General features: G+C 36.6%; 1 long non-coding RNA gene across 2 annotated transcripts in view; it reads right to left on the bottom strand.

Moving 5' to 3' along the window:
• The window catches only part of LOC105374511 (uncharacterized), a 482145-nt gene that overhangs the window by 384212 nt on the left and 78051 nt on the right, over positions 1-19882 (bottom strand). Inside the window, exon 2 of one of the 2 annotated variants that reach the window (NR_188379.1) lies at positions 19733-19803. The exons of the other annotated variant lie outside the window; for it this stretch is intronic. This is a non-coding gene — a long non-coding RNA (uncharacterized LOC105374511). The remainder of the gene's footprint in view (positions 1-19732; positions 19804-19882) is intronic. 2 annotated transcript variants of the gene reach the window in all.

The following is a 19882-nucleotide window of genomic DNA, read 5'->3' as shown; positions in this document are numbered from 1 at the left end:
AATCTATAGAATTATCTGCATATATTAGAAACGAATAAAGATCTAACATAACTAATCTAAGTTTACATCATAGGAAACTACAAAAAGGAAAAACAATTTAAAACAAAAACAGTATAATTAAAAATAATAAAAATTAGAGCAGAAATCAATGAAATTAAAAACAGGAAAATAATAGAGAAAAATGAAAAAAACAAACAAACAAACCGAAAGCCGGGTTAATGAAAATACAAACAACAATAAAAAGACAGAAGCCACAAATTATTAACATCAGAAATTAAAGAGAGGTCATCTTTCCTAATTCCAAGGATATTAAAAGAATAATAAAGAATTATTGTAGGCCTGGCAAGGTATTTTACATTTGTAATCCCAGCAAGTTGGGAGGCCAAGGAGAGGGGATAGCTTGAGGCTGGAAATTCAAGACCAGCTGGGGCAACATACTGAGGCCCCATCTCTACAGAAAATTCAAAAATTAGCCAGGCATGATGGTGCACACCTGTAGTTATAGCTACTCAGAGGGCTGAGACAGGAGTATCACTTGAGACCAGAAGGTCAAGGTTATAATAAGCTATGATCACACTACTGTATTCCAGCCTGGGAGGACAGAGTAAGATCGTCTCTCTAAAAATAAATAAATATATAAAATTTAATAAAACACATATATACCTATGAATTTGATAACCTCAGTAAAATGGATAAATTCTTTAAAAAAAACACAATGAACCAAAACTCACACAAAGAGAAATAGATAATCTATATTGGCCTATTATCTACATTTAATACACTGAATTAACAATTCATAGTTTTGTAAAACAGAAAGTATTAGGCTCATATAGGTTCATTGGTTAGTTCTCTAATGCCTTTAAGAAAGATAAAAAAGAATTACGCCAATATACTCTGAGGCCCTAAGTGGCAACCTCACCCCTGAGACCCTGGGTAGCAAATGGGTCTGCTGAAGATGAGAAGGCGGCATTGCCTGCAAAATTGATATATTAGTTTGAAAGAGCTATCATAACAAATTATCACAGACTGAATGACTTAAACAACAGAAATCTATTTTCTCAGAGTTCTGGAGGTTAGAAGTCTAAGATCAAAATGTCAGCAGATTTGCTTCTTTCAAGGCCTGTCTGCTTAGCTTGCAGATGGCAACTTTCTTGTGCTGTGTTTTCACAAGACCTTTTCTTCATGCATGCGCATCTATGGTGGCTCTTTCTCTTTTTAAAATGACACCAGTTATATTGGACTAGGGGCCTACACTAACAGACCTTTAACTTAATCACCTGTTTAAATAATTTGTCTCCAAATATGATTACATTGTGAGTACTGGGGGTTGGGACTTCAACATAACAATTTTAGGGAGCATGGTTTAGTTTATAACATTCTGTACCCTCCAAATTCATGTCCTTCTGATGTAAAAAAAAAAAATACATTCAATATATCCTGACAGCCTAAAAGTATTAATAAATTTCAGCACCAACTCTAAATTCTAAATTTTATCTAAATACCATCTAACTCAAGTGTGGGTGAGATTTGAGGTAAAACTTATGAGACAAAATTCCTCTCCAGCTGTGAAACAAGACAATTTATGTGCTCCCAAAATACAATGGTGAGACAGGTATAGGATAAACATGCCCCTTCCCAAAAAGGATAATATGGTGTGGCTGTGATCCCACCAAAATCTCATCTTGAATTGTAAAGCTCATAATTCCTATGTGCTGTGGGAGGGACCCTGTGGGAGATAATTGAATCATGGTGGTGGTTTCCCCATACTGTTCTCATGGTAGTGAATGAGTCTCACAAGAGCTGATGGTTTTATAAGGGGTTTCCTCTTTTCCTTGGCTCTCATTTGCTTTTGTCTGCCACCATGTAAGATGTACCTTTCACCTTCCACCATGATTGTGAGACCTCTCCAACCACGTGAAACTGTGAGTCCATTAAACCTCTTTTACTTTATAAATTACCCAGTCTTGGGCATGTCTTTATCAGCAGCATGAAAACAAACTAATGCAAGGGAGAAACCAAAAAGAAGAAGGCAGTAATGGGTCACAAGCAATCCCAAAACCTAGCAGAGCAAATTTCAGATTTTCAGGTTTTACACCTCCAGGAACAATACTCCACTGGATGCAGGGCACAAACACTGAGCCAGAGTATTATTTCTGGAGGCCTAAAATCTCTCCTTCCAGGTACACTGAGGCAGCAGTGCTGCCCTTGAGGCCCAAGGCAGGAGACTAATCCTTAAGGCCCTGGGTGGCTACCCTACTACTGGGACCCTGTTGAAGCAGCAGCCTGGCCCACTTTTCTAAGAACATCCAAAAGGTAGTACCACTGTCTGAAACTGAGGAGGAGACAGCCTCATCCATCAGACCTGTGGTAAGAGTATCAGCCTTGCCAATGTGAGAATTATATTCATGGCCATTCTTCCACTTTCTTGAAGGATAACACATATTCAAAACCAATTAATTCTATTTTTCTATAATGTAAAATCACAGAGTCTGAAAACCATTCTTCACTTTTGTCCATTCCTGATCCTGTTAGTCTAAGCTGAAAGTGTTTCTGATGGTAACACTCAAATCACTATTCTTGGCTTCTGTTGAGATGGCTGATTAGATACATAAATCACACCTTGATATATTATCACATGATTTTCTAGATACACTCCTCATGTGCTCTCCAGAAAATACTTTCTCATCTTTTGAAATATGGATAGGCTGAAAAATTTCCAGATCTTCAAGTTCTAGTTCCTTTTTTGCTAAACAATGACTTCTTCCATTTCTGTCTACCCTTTTGCACTTTATGAGAAGAGGCAAGGAGATGCCAGGCTGCATTTTCAACACTTTGCTTAGAAACAGGTTCAGTTAAATATCCAGGGTCATCACTCGCAAGTTCTATCCTCTGAAAAAATACTAGAACACAATTCACCCCAGTTATCTGCTACTTTATAATAAATATCACCTTTTCTACAGTGTTTAATAATATGTTCTTCATTTCTGTTTGATGTTGGAAATCCAAAATCAAGGTGTCAGCAGAATTGGTTTCTTTTGTTGTTGTTTTTGTTTTTTGAGACGGAGTCTCGCTCTGTCGCCCAGGCTGGAGTGCAGTGGCCTGATCTCCTCTCACTGCAAGCTCTGCCTCCCGGGTTCATGCCATTCTCCTGCCTCAGCCTCCCGAGTAGCTAGGACTACAGGTGCCCACCACCATGCCTGGCTAATTTTTTGTATTTTCAGTAGAGACGGGGTTTCACTGTGTTAGCTAGGATGGTCTTGATCTCCTGACCTCGTGATCCACCTGCCTCGGTCTCCAAAAGTGCTGGGATTACAGGCGTGAGCCACCACACCCGGCCAGAATTGGTTCTTCTAAAGCCTCTCTCCTTAGTTTGCAAATGGTCACTTTTTCACTGTATCTTCATATGGTCTTTTCTCTGTGCATGTGCACCTTTGGTGTCTCTTGTGTTACCAAATTTTATTTTTATAAGCATACTAGTGAGATAGGATTAGAAATCATTTGAATGAACTCATTTTAACGTAATTACCTCTATAAAGGCTCAACTTCCAAATATAGTCACATTCTGAGGTACTGAAGGTCAGGGCTTCAATGTGTACATTTGCTTAGCAGGGACAAAGTTTAGCTCATAACAGAGATGAACATCCTCTACTTGATAAAGAATATCTATGAAAATCTACAAGTAAATCTACAAGTAACATCATACTTAATGATGATAAACTAAATGTTTTCCCCTTAATATCAGGAACCAGGCAAGGATGTCCTTTTTTACCACCCCTATTCAACAATATACTGGAAGTCCTAGCTAGTGCTAACATGGGTAGGAAATAAACAGTGAGCCTGGAGCAAGTTGTAGTGTCAGAAAGTAAGGAAGTGCTAAAAAAAATCATGATGATGGGATGACTGGGGTTCTCCAAAGAAACAGAACAAATAAGAAACATATGATATATATACTGTACATTTATACCTACATATACATATATATACACACACAGGGACCAACTGAAGGAGCTCCCAGTGGCTAAAGCTGAAATAATTTGATATATGAAATAGATAAATAAATATTGTACCATAACCCAAAGTGTTAACTAAATATCCATGAGTCCCTAAAATATAAATGAATGACTGAGTAAATAAATGAGAGAAGAGACAAATATTCCATGCATAAGAATTTCAATAGTTTATGTACATACTCTACCACGAAAGAGGTAAAGTCTAGCTTTCCATCTCTACATGTGGACCATATTTTCTAACTTACTTTTCAATAATATAGTAGTGAAATGGGAGAATGAAAAAGTAAGTACAAATAAACACTACCTCAAGCCAAATGGCCAAGTTTAACATCAATGGTAATAAGTCACGTTGATAGTAAGTATACTTGATAAAATGTGTTAAGGATTGCTTCTTACTTGTGGTCTTCCATCTATAAACACATTGCACCAGTCTCATCATGATAAAAACATTAGACAAGCCTCAATTGTGGGACATTCTACAAAATACCCAATTAGTAGTTCTCAAAACTGTCAAGGTCATCAAAAGTAGGCAAATCTAAGAAATTGTTATGACCAAGAGGACTAAAATCCATGCTTACTAAATACAGTGTGGCATAATGGATGAACTCTGTAACAGAAAAAAAATACCTTAGAAAAAAAAAAAAAAAAACGAGAGTTCTGGTTAAATAGGGAGTTTAGTTAATAATATGTCAGCATTGGTTCTTTATTTGTGACAAACATCCCATACTAATGAAAGATATCAATAATTGGGAACCAGGTTATTCTGTATTCACAATGATACTATAAATTTAAAACAGTTCTTATGTAAAAAGCCAATTAAAAAAAATCTGGGTGTAGAGGTCAGAGACAGAAATTAGAGATTTGAAGCACAAGACACATTTGATGTATTGTTGCTAACTTGAAAGTAAGGGGGGTCATGGGACAAGGAGTGAGTGTGGCCTCCTGTAACTGAGAGTAGCCCCTGTGTAGCAGCCAACAAGAAATCAGTGATCTCAGTCCAACAATTACAGCAACTAAATTCTTCCAACACCAACAATGAGCTTGCAAGTGAACAAGGGGACAGGGCCTGGTGGCTCACACCTGTAATCCCAGCACTTTGGGAGGCCGAGGTGGGTGGATCACCTGAGGTCAGGAGTTTGAGACCAGACTGGCCAACATGGTGAAACCCCCGTCTCTGCTAAAATACAAAAAAATTAGCTGGGCATGGTGGCAGGTGCCTGTAATTCCATCTACTCAGGAAGCTGAGGCAGAATAATTGCTTGAACCTGGGAGGTGGAGGTTGCAGTGAGCCGAGATCATGCCACTGCACGCCTGGGCAACAAGAGTGAAACTCTGTATCAAAAAAAAGAAAAAAATAAAGTGCACAAGGGGGACAAAGGTGCCAGATGAGCACCAAGTCTTGACTCTAGCCTGTTACTCTGAGTAGCAAACTTTGCTATGCTGTTTCTAATCTTCTGACTTATAGAAGTGCCAGCTCATAGGGGTTTAAATATTCCTAAGTTTGTGGTAATTTGTAATGCAGCAATGGAAAATTAATACAGAGCTCTAATGAGAAATATACCCATCTTCTTTCTACTTATGCCTGCTTGATCTGGATTTCTTGCACTGGAGAGTGAGAGAAGGAAGGACATATTGAATCAGCCTATTCTCCCAGTTTTTCAAGTCAGCTTCTTGCTGAGAGGGCAAATTCTTGTCTGTTCTTGCTGGTGTGGTGAGCTAACCAGGAATAAGAACTGCCCCTACAAGGGATTCTCCACCGTTTGTGGGGACAAATTAGAGTAAAGGAGAGAGGATCTTTGAAGGGCCTACATGACGGACATTGCAAGCCATGTTGTTCTCATATTGACCTTAATATTAATGATGTTGAGTCTTTGATCTGAATCTTCATGGCTCTCATATCTTAATTGTCAATTGTTTCTGAACTACAGAGGCCAAGGCAATTATTATTTATGGTCTGCTTCAAACCTCTCCTTGAGGTTTCATAGAAGTCAAAAAGAAAGAGGGAAAAAAAAAGATTTAAAAAAACCTCTTTTATAAAAAAAGGAAATTATTCTCATTATAACTACAAAAGATTATATAGGACCATGGATGCCAGCATGAAACATTTTGTTTTAATGAAATAGAGCCTTTTTCTTGAACCAAGGCATGACACATTGAGAGTGAGGTTTCAAACCAATCACTTTGACAATGATATGCAGTCCATGGGGGGTAGTGGGGAAGAAACGTGTAGAAACAATTATGTCTATGCAAATGTTATATAAAATGTTTTACCTCTGAGCTTCATGTAAAAACTGATCTTGGCTCAAACTGAAAATTGCTAACTAGGCAAGAAGAGAGAATGGCATGAAACATAAAACTGACTCCTTAAAAGCTCAGGACAGGCATATGTGCTTATAAAACTTGATTTTTTGCCAACTAGTTTATAAAAAATAAAATGTCATCTCACTACTCTTAGCACTTGCAGCTGTATTTTTATTTCCATTTGTGGGGTAAATGATTTTCAAAGAATTTTTTATAATAGTCAAGTTTGGCAAAATACAACACCTAAATGTCATTTAGGGGCCTCACATTATTAAATATGATGGTACTATAATCCTTCAAGAGGTACATTTATCTTTAATATCTAGCTTTTCTCATTGAATAATGAAAGCTGGCATATATATCAAAAATTTAATTTTTAATCACTCTAAACTATGAAGCCCTGTTGGTGAAATTGTGGACTCTGACACTTAAAAGCTAAGAAAGAAAATGCTATTTTAAATTTGCTTTCTTATAGAATTAAAACAAATTTGATTAAATTTGAGTTATGAATATCCCTCCTGGGCCATGGTCTCTCAGATGTGCCACAGAATTGCAAACACAAATCTAACCTGAGTCAGCAGTCAGATTCCAGGTTCAAGATAGATGGGTGGAGATTGATGGGCTAGAGAAATCAAAATATTACCCAGTTCCAACTACACTCCACGGAGTTATGCCTGCAGGTTTTATCGCTTGCTCTGCACCCCACCACACTACAGTCAGATGCTCCTTACACATTGTCCTGAGGTGGGCTGTTATCTTACAGTGCCCTTGGTTGTGATTCACTGTGAGTTCAGGCTTCCAGAATCTTCTCAGGGTTGGGACAGCAGCTAACTTTGTCTAACCTCTAGACAAGTTAAGGAAGTAGTTAAATGGGTAAAATATAACATCGGGTTTCCAAGTTTCAAATTCTGCCTCCACCAGGTCATGCCTATATATCCTTAGAACATATTATTTTGCTTCTGGAGGCCTCAATTTCGTCATCTCTTAAACAGGATAAGGATAGGGAAACTTAGAGCAATATCTTCTATCTTAATAAATTATCCTAGGAAACAAAATACTTAAGTGAATAATCTGTGTATTTTTCAGAGTTCTGCAAAGAAACAGAATAAGAAACATATGATATATATACTGTACATTTATACCTACATATACATATATATACACACACAGACACATATCTATCTATCTAATCTATCTATCTATATCTTTATATCTATCTATCTATATGTATGGGGAGAGAGAGAGAGAAAGATTTATTATAAAGAATTGGCTCACATGATTATGAAGACTGGCAAGTCTCAAGAACTGCAGGGTGAGTCTGCAAGTGGAGTTCTGGGAGAGTGCATGATTTAGTCCCAGGTGTAGCCTGAAGCCCTGAGAACTAGAAGAACTGATGGTATGATTCCTATTCAAAAGCTGATAAAACCCAAGAAGAGCAAACGTTCAGTCCAAAGACAAGAAAAAAATGCAGATGTTTCTATTTCAAAGGCAGCCAAGAAGGAAAAGTTACCTTACTCAGGAGAGGGTCAACTACTTTGTTCAATTTAGACCTTCAACTGATTGGGTGAGGCCTACCTACATTAGGGAGGGCAATCTTCTTTCCTCATTCTACTGATTTTGATATTAATCTCATCCAAAGCCACCCAAGAATACTGTTTGATCAAATATCTTTGCACCCCATGGTCCAATCAAGTTGACACACAAAATTAACCATCACAATTTATGTAAAGCATGCATTCCATTGTTGGGAAAATGTTTCATAATGCTAACCATTCTTTTTCATTAACTGTTAACTGTGCTGCACAATTTACTTCTAATATCTCTCAAGTGAGCACTCAGTGACATCTTATACTTGAGAAATATAGATGTTTACAGTGGATAAGTATCTTTTTCAGAATCACACAGCTACTATTCTACTATTCTAGCAGAGCTAGAATTCAGAACCCATACTTTCTGGCTATGAAGCCCTGTTCTTACAACCAAATCACAGTGCCCACCCTCCTTTTTAAATAAAGAGCAAACTGAGAAGGCAAAAACCAGAGCCCACAAAACTCCTTCAAAGTCTTATAGCTGCCAGTTCAGTTCCATGCCAGTGTACACGTTTATATATAACCATGTGTGAAATATCTATGCCATTTTTCTGAGACGTTGAGTAGGTGGCATGTATTTCAACATCTCATCTCCATCAAATGAGAGCTATAATATATATTTAAAGATGAAGTCAGCCTTTCTAAATATAATTTTCAACTGTGCTGGGAAAAATATAAACTGCAGCACTGTAATAATCAACATATAAATAGCTCCCACATCTTTGCCATGCAAATTTGGATAATGATATTATGGAAGGGGACTATCAAAAGGGACCTTCTGTTACCACTCTTTTTGCTAACCAGTGAGCAGCTGGGATTGATGACATTTTTAGTTAAAGCCAGTTTGGAAAGGCTTTTATCCCACGGAGATAAGCTAAAGCCTCAAAATAAAACAATCCCAAACTGCCAATGTTTGATTGGTTTGAAGTTGGAACGGAGGTATTAAATTCTTGGTTTTCTCACAGTTTTAGAGAAAAAGCACACAGCTTTCCATTGCCCTTTGACGGCTGACAAACTGAACCTCCAGGCCTTTTGTGTGTGTGAATCTAGGGGTATATTTCCTCTACCTGGCAGTTTTCATGACACATGAACCCACATCTCAGGTGGAGAATGATGTCTCACTCAGCCTCAGTGTCTATGTGACTTCCTGAACAGACAATCCCTCTGCTGGATGCATCAAATGACAGGACCCTGTGAAGATGCAGATATGCTGGTTATCTCACCATTACCAAAAAGCCCATCGGGGTTTCTTTTGAAAAGATTCCCACTTCTCCATGTCTCAGTTGTAGAAGGACAGGACTCTGGGGGGACAGTTTTTGTTGGAATGTTGCTAATTCCAGGTACGAGTAGGTAGGTGTTTATATGGCAGAGACCACAAACAGGTAGTTGTCGGCCATTTCTGGCTCCGAGACAGATTTACTTTGGGCAATAGAGTGTTGTGCTTTTTTTCCCTAATTTGGATACTTTTAGATGGGGCAGATGCTTCATATTGCCACAGACGCTTTATCTCCCTATTGTCTTAAACTTGAGTTTGGGCCATTCTTACATGTGACTTTTGCTACTGAATACCACTACAGATGAGATATTCATTAAAGACGATTTCTCCAACAAGTGATCTAGACATAGACATTCTCATTTGATCCAGGGAGACACAAACACTGGTGTGGTGAAAGAAGAAGCCCTGCTGGGAACAGAAAATATAAAAAAAATGCACTCTGTAGGATGAATTACAACTGTGCCCTTAGCTAGGTGCTTTTTTGGTTTCTTTTTGTTTGTTTGTGTGTTTTTTTTTTCTGGTGTGTGTGAGTCAGTCTCATAAAATATAGAATACTAACTATCATGTTTTTAAGTCAAGCTCTTTTGTGCTTTAGTATGAGCTCTGTATCATTAGTTGAGTTACTTTTTTTTTGGTAGAATTCATTTTTTTTTTAAATTAATCACAGTAATTCTTCTGGTCATCATATGCACACCCCTTTGAATTGCAACTGAGCCATTCCTCCTCTCTTGACATGACTCTATTTCTCTACTTCTCAAATCTGGGAATGGTCATCTGAATTGTTTGGTCAACTAGAAGTTAGAAATTTTAAAATGGAAAATTTTTAAATTAGAAAATTTAACACAAGCATATATTTGAAAAAATGCTCAATTACTGGGGCTTTTCCTCTCTTGCTGTGCTTGAAAACTTGAGTCCATGACATGATTGAGCTCAAGGCAGCTTTTCACACCAGTCTCATGGAGGAGAGTTGAGGGTACCTGAACAAAACCTACCATCAACTAGATTTACTAAGTGGGTAAAGTCATTGTAGATCATCTAGCACCAGATATGTTAGCAGACTGCAGATAGCTGAACTAATCCAGACCAGAAGAGCTACTCACTGGGACCTCAAAATGCTGAGACACAAAAGATGCATATTGTTTTAAACCATTAGCTTTTGGGGTAGTTTGTTATGCAGCAAAAGTTAAATGGCATATTTCTTAGCCTCAATTTCCTCAACTGCAAAATAGAGTTGATAACTACCTTGCAGTGTTACTGTGGGGATTATAAATAACATGTATAACTGGCTGGCTCACATAAAGTCTCCAACAAATGAAAGCTATATTATTCGTTAGTTATCAGTCTGAATGAGCTTCTAAATCTCTTAATGTTAACACAGATTGAGTTCGAATTTTATGCTCCTGTTCTTGAAAATTGATCTTGACTTCTGATACTTCCTAATTCTGATGACTCAGTTTTAATGTTGCTCAAAAAGACATTATGGCCCCACTTTAATAAATTCATCTCCATCACAGAAGCTTAGAGAAAAAAGCCTCAAATCACAGCCCTGACTTCCTGGAAGTAAAATTAACAAAAAATGACAGAATTAAGACAGCCATTCTCATCAAGTTAGAAGCTGAAATTCAACCTTGAGTTTTTGAAGCCCAATCAATTATTATAATTGGAGAAATCCTTGGAGAATGTCTGTTTTATTTAAGCTACACATGTGTTTCACTGTGTGTATGGGTAGATGAATGTGTGTAGTCCTTATCCTCCAAGTTGTAAGAATGTACTGGGGAAGACACACTTATGCAAAAGTAGCTATCCTGTAAAATAAACTACATAGGGTGCTCTGACAGACAATCCACATTCATCAACACAAGGAAATGGGACTGCGGATTAAGATCAATGTAAAAGATTTGGGAAAGCATCGGGAGAAAATAGGATTGAGTAAATTTTCTCAAGTACATTAAGCAAAACTCTTTTAGTTTCATTTTCCAAAGATCTAAATGATCTTAATCAAACAGCCTCAAAAACCATAACGTAAACATGAACCAGAATCAGCGTTTTATACTCTTAAAAACTAGGGAAGCTTTGCCTTCAAAGAATGGCTAGATTCACAGGCTCAAGGAAATTTTCAGGACACCGTATCTCTCACCTCTCACCTGTTTTTCACTTAGTTGGCCCTGTTTATTCTCAGGTAAAATGAATGCCAACAACATGCTTGACCCCAACTCCAAGTTTGTAACAAAGAAGGGATTTGTTCTTAAAAATTCAAATACAAGTCCTAGGTCTGACACTCATTACCCAAAATTGGATCGTACATTCATTCATGAGCCAGCCACTAAAAATGAAAATAAGGTAAGCTCATCCATGCCCCAGAGTCAGAAAGTGGGAATCGAGAAAAGCGCTTACCAGAAGAAGAGTGAGGATATTGGCCCTCAACTTCCAAAACAAATATTCACTTTGGCAGAATAGGATTTTTACTTTGAGAAAGCAGTGGGGTGCTTGAGTTAAAGGCAAAGGACCAGGACGGAACATTGTCCCTAATAAATAGTTCAATTGATTGAAATTGACACTTACAATTAGAAATGAACATATCCTTACTTTTTTTCTTTCTTAATATCTAACATCATTCAAGAAGCTGAGGCAGCCATTTTTACGTGTTTGATTTTATTTCTGAGATGAGAAAGCAGATTTAAAGGACGATTTTATGTGTTGTTAATCCCATGCATTATGTTTTAATAGTGCATTTTTTTTTCTCATTTCCCCAAACAAAGAAATGTCAATTCCTGGAGTCTTAGCAACTCATTGGTTACACCCACTTAATTATGTATTTGGCTCAGTTGTAGAATAAAGTAATCAGATGAAGCCTGGTACAGACTGGCTTGAAGTAGAACAAATATGAGTGAAGTCATCCAACAACGTGCCTCAGGAAAAAAAAAAAAATATATATATATATATATATATACGGTTCATTGCTAACCCAGAAAGAGCCAGATTTTGAATGATGTCACATGTAAACCACTATGGTAAAGCAGAATTCAGAAGGTAAAACCGAAGCATGACTGCAGGCAGGACCCAAGAATAAAACAGAAAACAGAGACAGACAAGGTGTCAGAGAGGACCCAGAAATAGCAATCACCCAGGTGGCCCACACAGATACTGAGAGTCTAGGCAAGGCTCAGAGAATTAGATAGAACTGAGGACAGAGGCTTTAAAATCACGGCAGCTTTCAAAATAAGGGTGTTTGGGGCCTAAGCAAATTCATTTTGTGATTGTTTAGTCATTGCTTTTGTTTTTATTTTGATTTTGGATCAGTCTACAAAGTGGGGGAAGAAAGCAGGTGAGCTGCATAGACAGAAGTGAACAAAGATGGAATATTGTGGAGATATTCTACTTCACACTCCCATTGACTTTCCTTCACATTGGACACACATTTACTCAATGTTCCTGGTTAATATCGACTAGTTTCTCAAACCCTGGCTTAGCCATCATCTTCTCCAAGAAGGCTCCCTTGGCTAACTCCATCTCCTCATGAGGCCCCATGTTATCCCATCACATTATTTACCAATTATGTTTTATTTGCCTATTCATTTTTCAGCTTTTCAAATGCAGAGACCATGATTCACCCACCACTGTATCTTCGGGACCTACAGTAGTGCTCAATCAGTGTTTTTGTTTTGTTTTGTTTCTAAGTAAATCAACAAGCTTAAACTAAGTTCACTTCAACACATGTACCACTGAACTTAAAATAAAATAAATTCTAAAAAAGTAATTTCAGAGGTATATCCACTTGTGTGACTATAAAAAGAATAAAAATAAAACCTATATTTAAATAAAAATTAAATTTAATTTAATTAATTTAAATTTAAATTTAATAAAAAGAGAAAATCTAGATTCCTGGAAATTCAGGCAAAAATTCCAAAAAAGATGTTAATGTATACATTTATATTATTTATGGGCAGATGTTCCCCCCCATAATTAAATATACTCTTTTGTATTTGGTAGTTTTTCTCTATATAAGATGTAAAATAAATTCCCTATAATTATCTTACTCTTGTTTGGAAACAAAATTATGAGAAATCAAAGTTCTATGGCATTAAACAAGTCACCTCACGTCATATATAAAATAAGAGGATCCAATCTTGGTCTGTATTTTTACAAAAGTGTAATATCTTCATGTTTGTTCTCAGCCTTAAGCACTTAAACAAATATATATTTTTAAAGATTCAGCATTATTTAACAAATTATTTCTAAGCTCATCTTTGATTTCCAAATTTGTCCTTATCCTCTTTCTTTCTATACTGCAGGGGTTCACACGTGTTAACGTGTGTAAGAAAATTTGGCCGTGGATGTAAAATAAATATTCCTGGGTCTTCATCTTAGTGTTCTGAATCAGTTGATGCAAAGTGAACCCAGGAATGTGAAACTTTAAAATGCATGTTGTCTTTGATAGACCACAGCTTGAGTACCACTTTGTCTGTTTCCTTTATTCCCATATTCCTTATATTTTTCTCTTATTCCACTCCTGACTATCCTTCAGATCTACCAAACATTGTGAATGCAATGGATGGGACTTAAGTAATACCCAGGAAATATTAACTATAAAGGAGGAATGCATAATTAGAGAATGAATACATGTATGAACGAATAAGAAAATGAACAAAGGAATAAATGAATAAATGTGTTTTTCAGGAAGTACTTATGGCTGTGTTTCTATCACTCCACATATCTAGGGACTGCCCAACCTCACCTCTAGGCCAGCTCTGGCACAGGCTTCCTGAGGAAAAACCCCAGCTGAGAGTACTCATTTAAATAAGTCCATGAAGGAAGAAGACACAATCAGGACACAGATAAGAGAGGGGCCCACAGGAGATTGTTAGCAGAGGCTGACGTCCTATGGTATAATAGGCAAAAGTTGCCATTTGGAAGAAGCCCACGGGAGATAGCAGGTTCTTGCCTCATTCAATTTAGTTTCCAGTTAAGAAAATTTCTGTCCATACAGGAAATTATTTTGGAGGTTAAACTGGCTCAATTCAAATAGTAAAGCTAGTTGGGTGATTTCCTTGTCAACTGGAGTGGACTGAGATCACGGCATGGAAACAGAACACAGGCGATAATAATGAGTATACAACTAAATTGGTCTTAAACAAAATTGGCATTGAAACAAAGAGAAATTAATATTGGAATTTTATAGATGTTAGAGCAGTTTTTAAAGTGGCAATAATAGGACTTTTGAACTTGGAAATAATGCTGCTTGTGAAGCTGTGCCTTGGGAGTGTGGGTGTGATGAGAGACCGTTGTGGGTTCCACCCTGGGCTGGCTTAGACTCAACTTCACTGGTTGTTAATGGCTGTCTTGGGATGCCTAATGGAGCATCCGCCAGGAGGATGACAAGCTTCCTTTCCCTCCTGCTGCCACTATAAGGTTCATCTTCAACCTGACTCTCTCTGATGTAGAAGGCTCTTGGTTTCAGCAAGCGGCCTTCATTTTGTCCACTAATATTAAAGCTCTCTGGTTTCTTTGTAGCTGGTTTCTAAGCTTTGCTTCCATCTTCCCCTTTCGAAATGACTTCTGTCCACTACCACTGCCCCTGCAGCAGCCTATACATGTACCCTCTCCCTTCAGGGAGACAAATCTAGGAGGTCCTTTTAACACAACTAAAGACTGGTCCAGTTTCATTCACCATCATTCAGCCTGGAAACTTCAGGGATAACTTTGGCTCCTTGTTTTGCCTCTGTCTCATTTTCCAAGGCTTGCCTCTTAAATTTGCTTCTTCTGTTTCACCCCACCTATTCCCGCGTTAGTGCTGGCTGATATTAACCCATTCCTGAACCATAAGTGGTAGCTTCCTAGTTGGTGTGCCTGACCTCTACCCACATGTATGTACTCCTCTCCTCAATGCCAGAATACATCAAAAAAGTTACTTTTACCAGTGCTGTCATCAGTGATTGTCAAGTTAATTCTACTGTGCTCAAATAAGTTTACTTCAACCAGTATTAACTGAGAATCTATTATATTCCAGGCCTTCTCCTGGGACACATGAGAGACAATGAAGATGGATTATGGAGCTAGAAGAAGACACAGACTCATAAAGAGATGACTAATGTGTAATAAATAAATATAATGTCAGTGGTAGACCCAGAGGTTGAGAAAAGGCTTCCAGAAGACTCATTGACATAGTCTGAAAGGATGAATAAGAGATGGTGCAGTGAAGGGAGTGAGTACATGTGGGCAGTGGACTATCATGTGTACAAACACATGGAGAAGAGAACAGACAGAGTTCTGGAGGGAGTTTGAGACTGGACTAGGTATTTTAATGCTAGGAAGGGATGAGTAAGAGATACAACTATAGAAGGGTCAGATCATGCAGGATTCCATCATTCAGGCTAAGGAGGATAATTTTAACATTATTTGAACTGGTCTCTTATTCAGTAGTTCTCAATATAATCTCACACCCAGAGGATTAGCAGGCAGGGGGTGATATCCATTATTATGAAGATGACATGTAAAACTGTAAGATAAATATGAGTTTTAGATGGAAAATAATTCGCAATGTGATTTTATGTTGCAGTAAATAGATATATGTGATATATATATATATATATAAAATACAATTTGGATTTCTTTAAACCACAGAAATTAAAGAAATCTCAGGCTTTGAGTGGGTTAATTTTTATTAGAGTCTATTATCTCCTCTTCATTTATTATCTTCTGCTTTTAAGTTACATATGAAAATCTATTAGAACCAATAGCTCCAATGAAAATGTGATTCTACCCAAGTTACTCTACTTGGGGGAATAACCTAATGTACATTCACAAGTAGAAATGAGTTGTTTTTGACTCTGTAGCAAAGCAAGTTTTGTATAAGCAAATATGTGTATTTTTCTGGTGTCAAGGCTTATTATAGTCATTAAATCACCAAATAGTCAATAATAAATAATTAAAGAATAGGAAGATAAACTGATAGATAGCAGATAAAGTTGACAGATACATAGATCATAGTTAGATATAAAGGATGATAACTAAGAATAGATGCATGGATAGATAGAAGATAGATATAGGAATAAAAGGGAAGTTCAAAATTATAATACCTACTTCTGCTATTATTTCTTTTTTCTGTGACTTTGCATAACTCTGCTACCCTTGGAATTTCCCACTACAATTTCCTTTGGCCTAGAAAAGAGACAAACTGAATTCTTATATCTGTCCAGGTCCTTCAGAAAACAAGAAATAATTTATCTTCAATTCTTAGTGTTTATGTGTCACAAATTTGGTTCTTCTCACAGACAGCCTTAATATGTTTGCCATATTTTTATTTTTCTATAATGCATCATTTCACCCAAGTTGAAAGATCATTGAGAGCAGAAACATTATTTTACTATTTGTACCCGAAACACAGACTAGCACTGGATCATGCCAGAGGTCCTTAGTTGCAGATTTAATGTATAAATCATAGACTGTTTTGGTTCATTTCAACAATAAAAATTGAATGTAATGTGCTAGGTTCTGGAGGTACAAATAGTTAGGACACAGTTCTAGATATTGAGGTGTTTACTGACTTCATCTAAGAACAGATTTTAATAGATTTCAGAATTTTAATTTCACATTTCCACGATTATATTCTCTAAGAATTGTTATTAGAGGGGTCATGGTTTCTACAAAAGTGAGGTGTAGCTGATGACAACCATATCGGAGTGAAGCTATTTAAATTTAACAATGAATCACACAGGTATTCAGAGACTTCAAACAGGAATAAATTAATATATTTCTCCCTAGTGTCTTGAAATACAACTCTAAGTATGCAATATAAGAAGTCCATTACTGTGGTTACTTTTTTAGTATATTACCAATGCAGATCAGGCTGAATTATTAGACGATGACCAATAAATATAATAGACATTGGTGCTTGCTCAGTAATAACTAACCTCTATATTTTAAACAATGCAGAAGCAGCATATCTTCTATATTTTGTGTTACCATACCATATATTATAAAAATATATATTTGAGTTTGTATTTTATTGTAGAATATTTTTAGGATGATTGAATTAGGTATTTTAATTTTGCAATTAAAATAATTTACAATTGTAGCTTTTTTTAACTTTAAAGTACACTCATATTCATTATTTAGTTATAAATTTAAAGGTATTTATATCTAGAAAAAAAGGATATTTGGTTAGTAGGATAAGGGTTATTTTGACTGAGGCTGAATTTAATAAATAAGCAAATGAAGTGGTTGAGAACCAGAATCATATACTATAAAAACACCAGCAAACTAGAAGAGAAAGTGCATCTGTGTGTGTCTTGGGAAAATACATTCATAGAATTCTAGACATGTTTAGCATCCACAACTCCTGCTGAATTCAAAGTGGACTATGTGACACCAGCCTTTACTCCCTCCTCAACCAATTTTAATGAGACAAATGTTAAGTCTGGGTAGTTCATGAAGGATCTACGGCAGATACACATTTTACAGCCACCGGCTCAGTAAGCACAACAAACTGATCAAAAGTTAGTGGAAACAGAAAGAACAACAGATAATATCAATCTGGGCTCTGAGAAAGGGAAAAGCAATGGCTGACTTGGCTCGTGATTTTCCAAGTATATATCTCCCAAATATTTCCCCATTCTGGCAGAGGAATTTCTTATTATATAGGCTAATGATGCCAGATACATATTTCTTCAGCTTCCTTTATAGCTAAAGAGTGGGTTTATGACCTACGGAGGACTTCTGGGAATGGTTCCCTTCTGGTTAAAAAGAGAGACAAGAAAAAAAATGCACTTTTTACCCTTGGATGGTGCTAAGTAAAGACATAGTGTTATGGCGCTACAGCAACCATCTTGTAACCAGGAGGTGATAAACCAAAGGACCACAGACAGCACATTGAAGATAGTAGACTGAAACAGGAAAAAAGACTTGGTCTCTGGTGATTGTGTTAAGTTTTGAATTAACATATATACAACTGAAGTATCATTAAATTTTTTGGTATGTTAGATAAAAAATATCCTTATTTATTCTAGCCATAGTACTTGGGCATATAATTTCTGTGTGGTTATAAGCATCTTAATTCATAAATGATTTCATTTTCAGACCTTTAAATCCTCAATTGAATCAATCTCCATGAAGCCCAGCTAAATCTAAAATAATTTTGTATTGTTATTGTCTTCTCTATTGTCACTAAACAAGCCTTTTTTTCCTACTTCACATGTGTCTCTATTTCTTGCAAGCAGCAATGACCAATGGCCTTGATACAGGCTTTTTGTGATATATTTATGAAGTTAAGGGCTTTGACTAAAATCACAACAGAATTCAATTGTGATGTAATGGTACCCAGAATATAGGTTAGCCACGTGGGCTTTTTCAGTTATGTGCCATGTGCTATTTCAAAAATGGCTGGAAAATAGAGATTTTATTCATCGATGAACTATTCAGTACTATATAAGAAATACTGAGAGGCATTTTAAGAATAACTTCAATGCACTTGGTATCATTTAACCTACCATAAAATTGCAGCATAATGCCCAGTGAAAAGGGGTTCAATTGTTCAGAGAATGAGATCAGAATGGAACCTGAATATATTTAATAACTATGTTAACATTTTTTCAGGGAAGTTATCTAATACTTATCCATTTAAATGAATTTAAATGGAAGCTTCTCTCCCTAAAGCCTCTCTATTATGAAGTTACAGTCTCCAGATTGCCAACTCCATTGTCCAAAGAACAGAGAGTGCTTGGAAATACCTGCCAGATAAACAAGTTCTCACAAGCCTGGGGAGATATTAAGCACTTCTACATGTAGCTGCTTCCAAAGATGCCTTTGCATCTCCCGCTTCACTGCTGCTGTGAAGTCGACAATCCTGGAAATGCATTGAGTTTTGAAGCAGGGAGTTTTCAAAGTGACAGGCTTAAAAAATACAATTCACCTTTTGCCCTTCCACTCCCAGCTGCAGAATATTAGGCCTCCTTAGAACTCAGTTTTATAACTCTGAATACGCAGTGATACTTTTAATAAATAGGCTAAGCTCTCCTGGGCCACAGGCTTCCAATTATAGTTTCTAGTCCAAATCCCCCTTTTAAATGAAGATGATTAAATGAGGGTATTTATGATTTAGACAACAAGAGAAAAAAACATGTTCATATCTCCTAGCTAAATACTATAATCTCAATTTTCTTAATATTCAGTGAAATAATTAATGGCAGATTTGAATTGGCTCCAAAATATTCTCTCACATAAACTGCTGCTAACAAATAACAAAGACACAATCAAGTGGCATAAAATTTATGGGATGGGAAATCTGTCTTGATTATATATCAATTTCATACATAGAATGAGCTGGACAGCTCTGTGTTACAGAAACTACAGGAAAAGCAAGCTCTCTTTCTGCCTCTGATATGAAGCAGTTTTATGTATGACATTTGTCATTGAAACGCTATGTCTCCTTGTATGTTAACTTAGAGTGTTAGATTTTATAATATCTAATAACTCTTGAATTCTGTATTTCTGTTTCCCAATAAAATAAAATTCAGTTGTTTTAAGGGAAAAGGCAGAAAATTTGGACCCAGAATACTTGCGTTTGAAACTGAGCTCCAAATTTCTTGGCTATAGATCCTTGGATACAAAGTTAACTGCATAGAATCTTGATCTGTAAAATGGAAATGATAATACCAATATCACAATTATATTCAAAAGATGCAAGGACATCACTTATGGAATATTTATTA

The sequence above is a fragment of the Homo sapiens genome, chromosome 4, assembly GCF_000001405.40.
Source record: "Homo sapiens chromosome 4, GRCh38.p14 Primary Assembly".
Lineage (NCBI taxonomy): Eukaryota > Metazoa > Chordata > Mammalia > Primates > Hominidae > Homo > Homo sapiens.
Note: the sequence above shows the minus strand (reverse complement) of the source record. Positions and strands in the feature narration are given on the sequence as shown.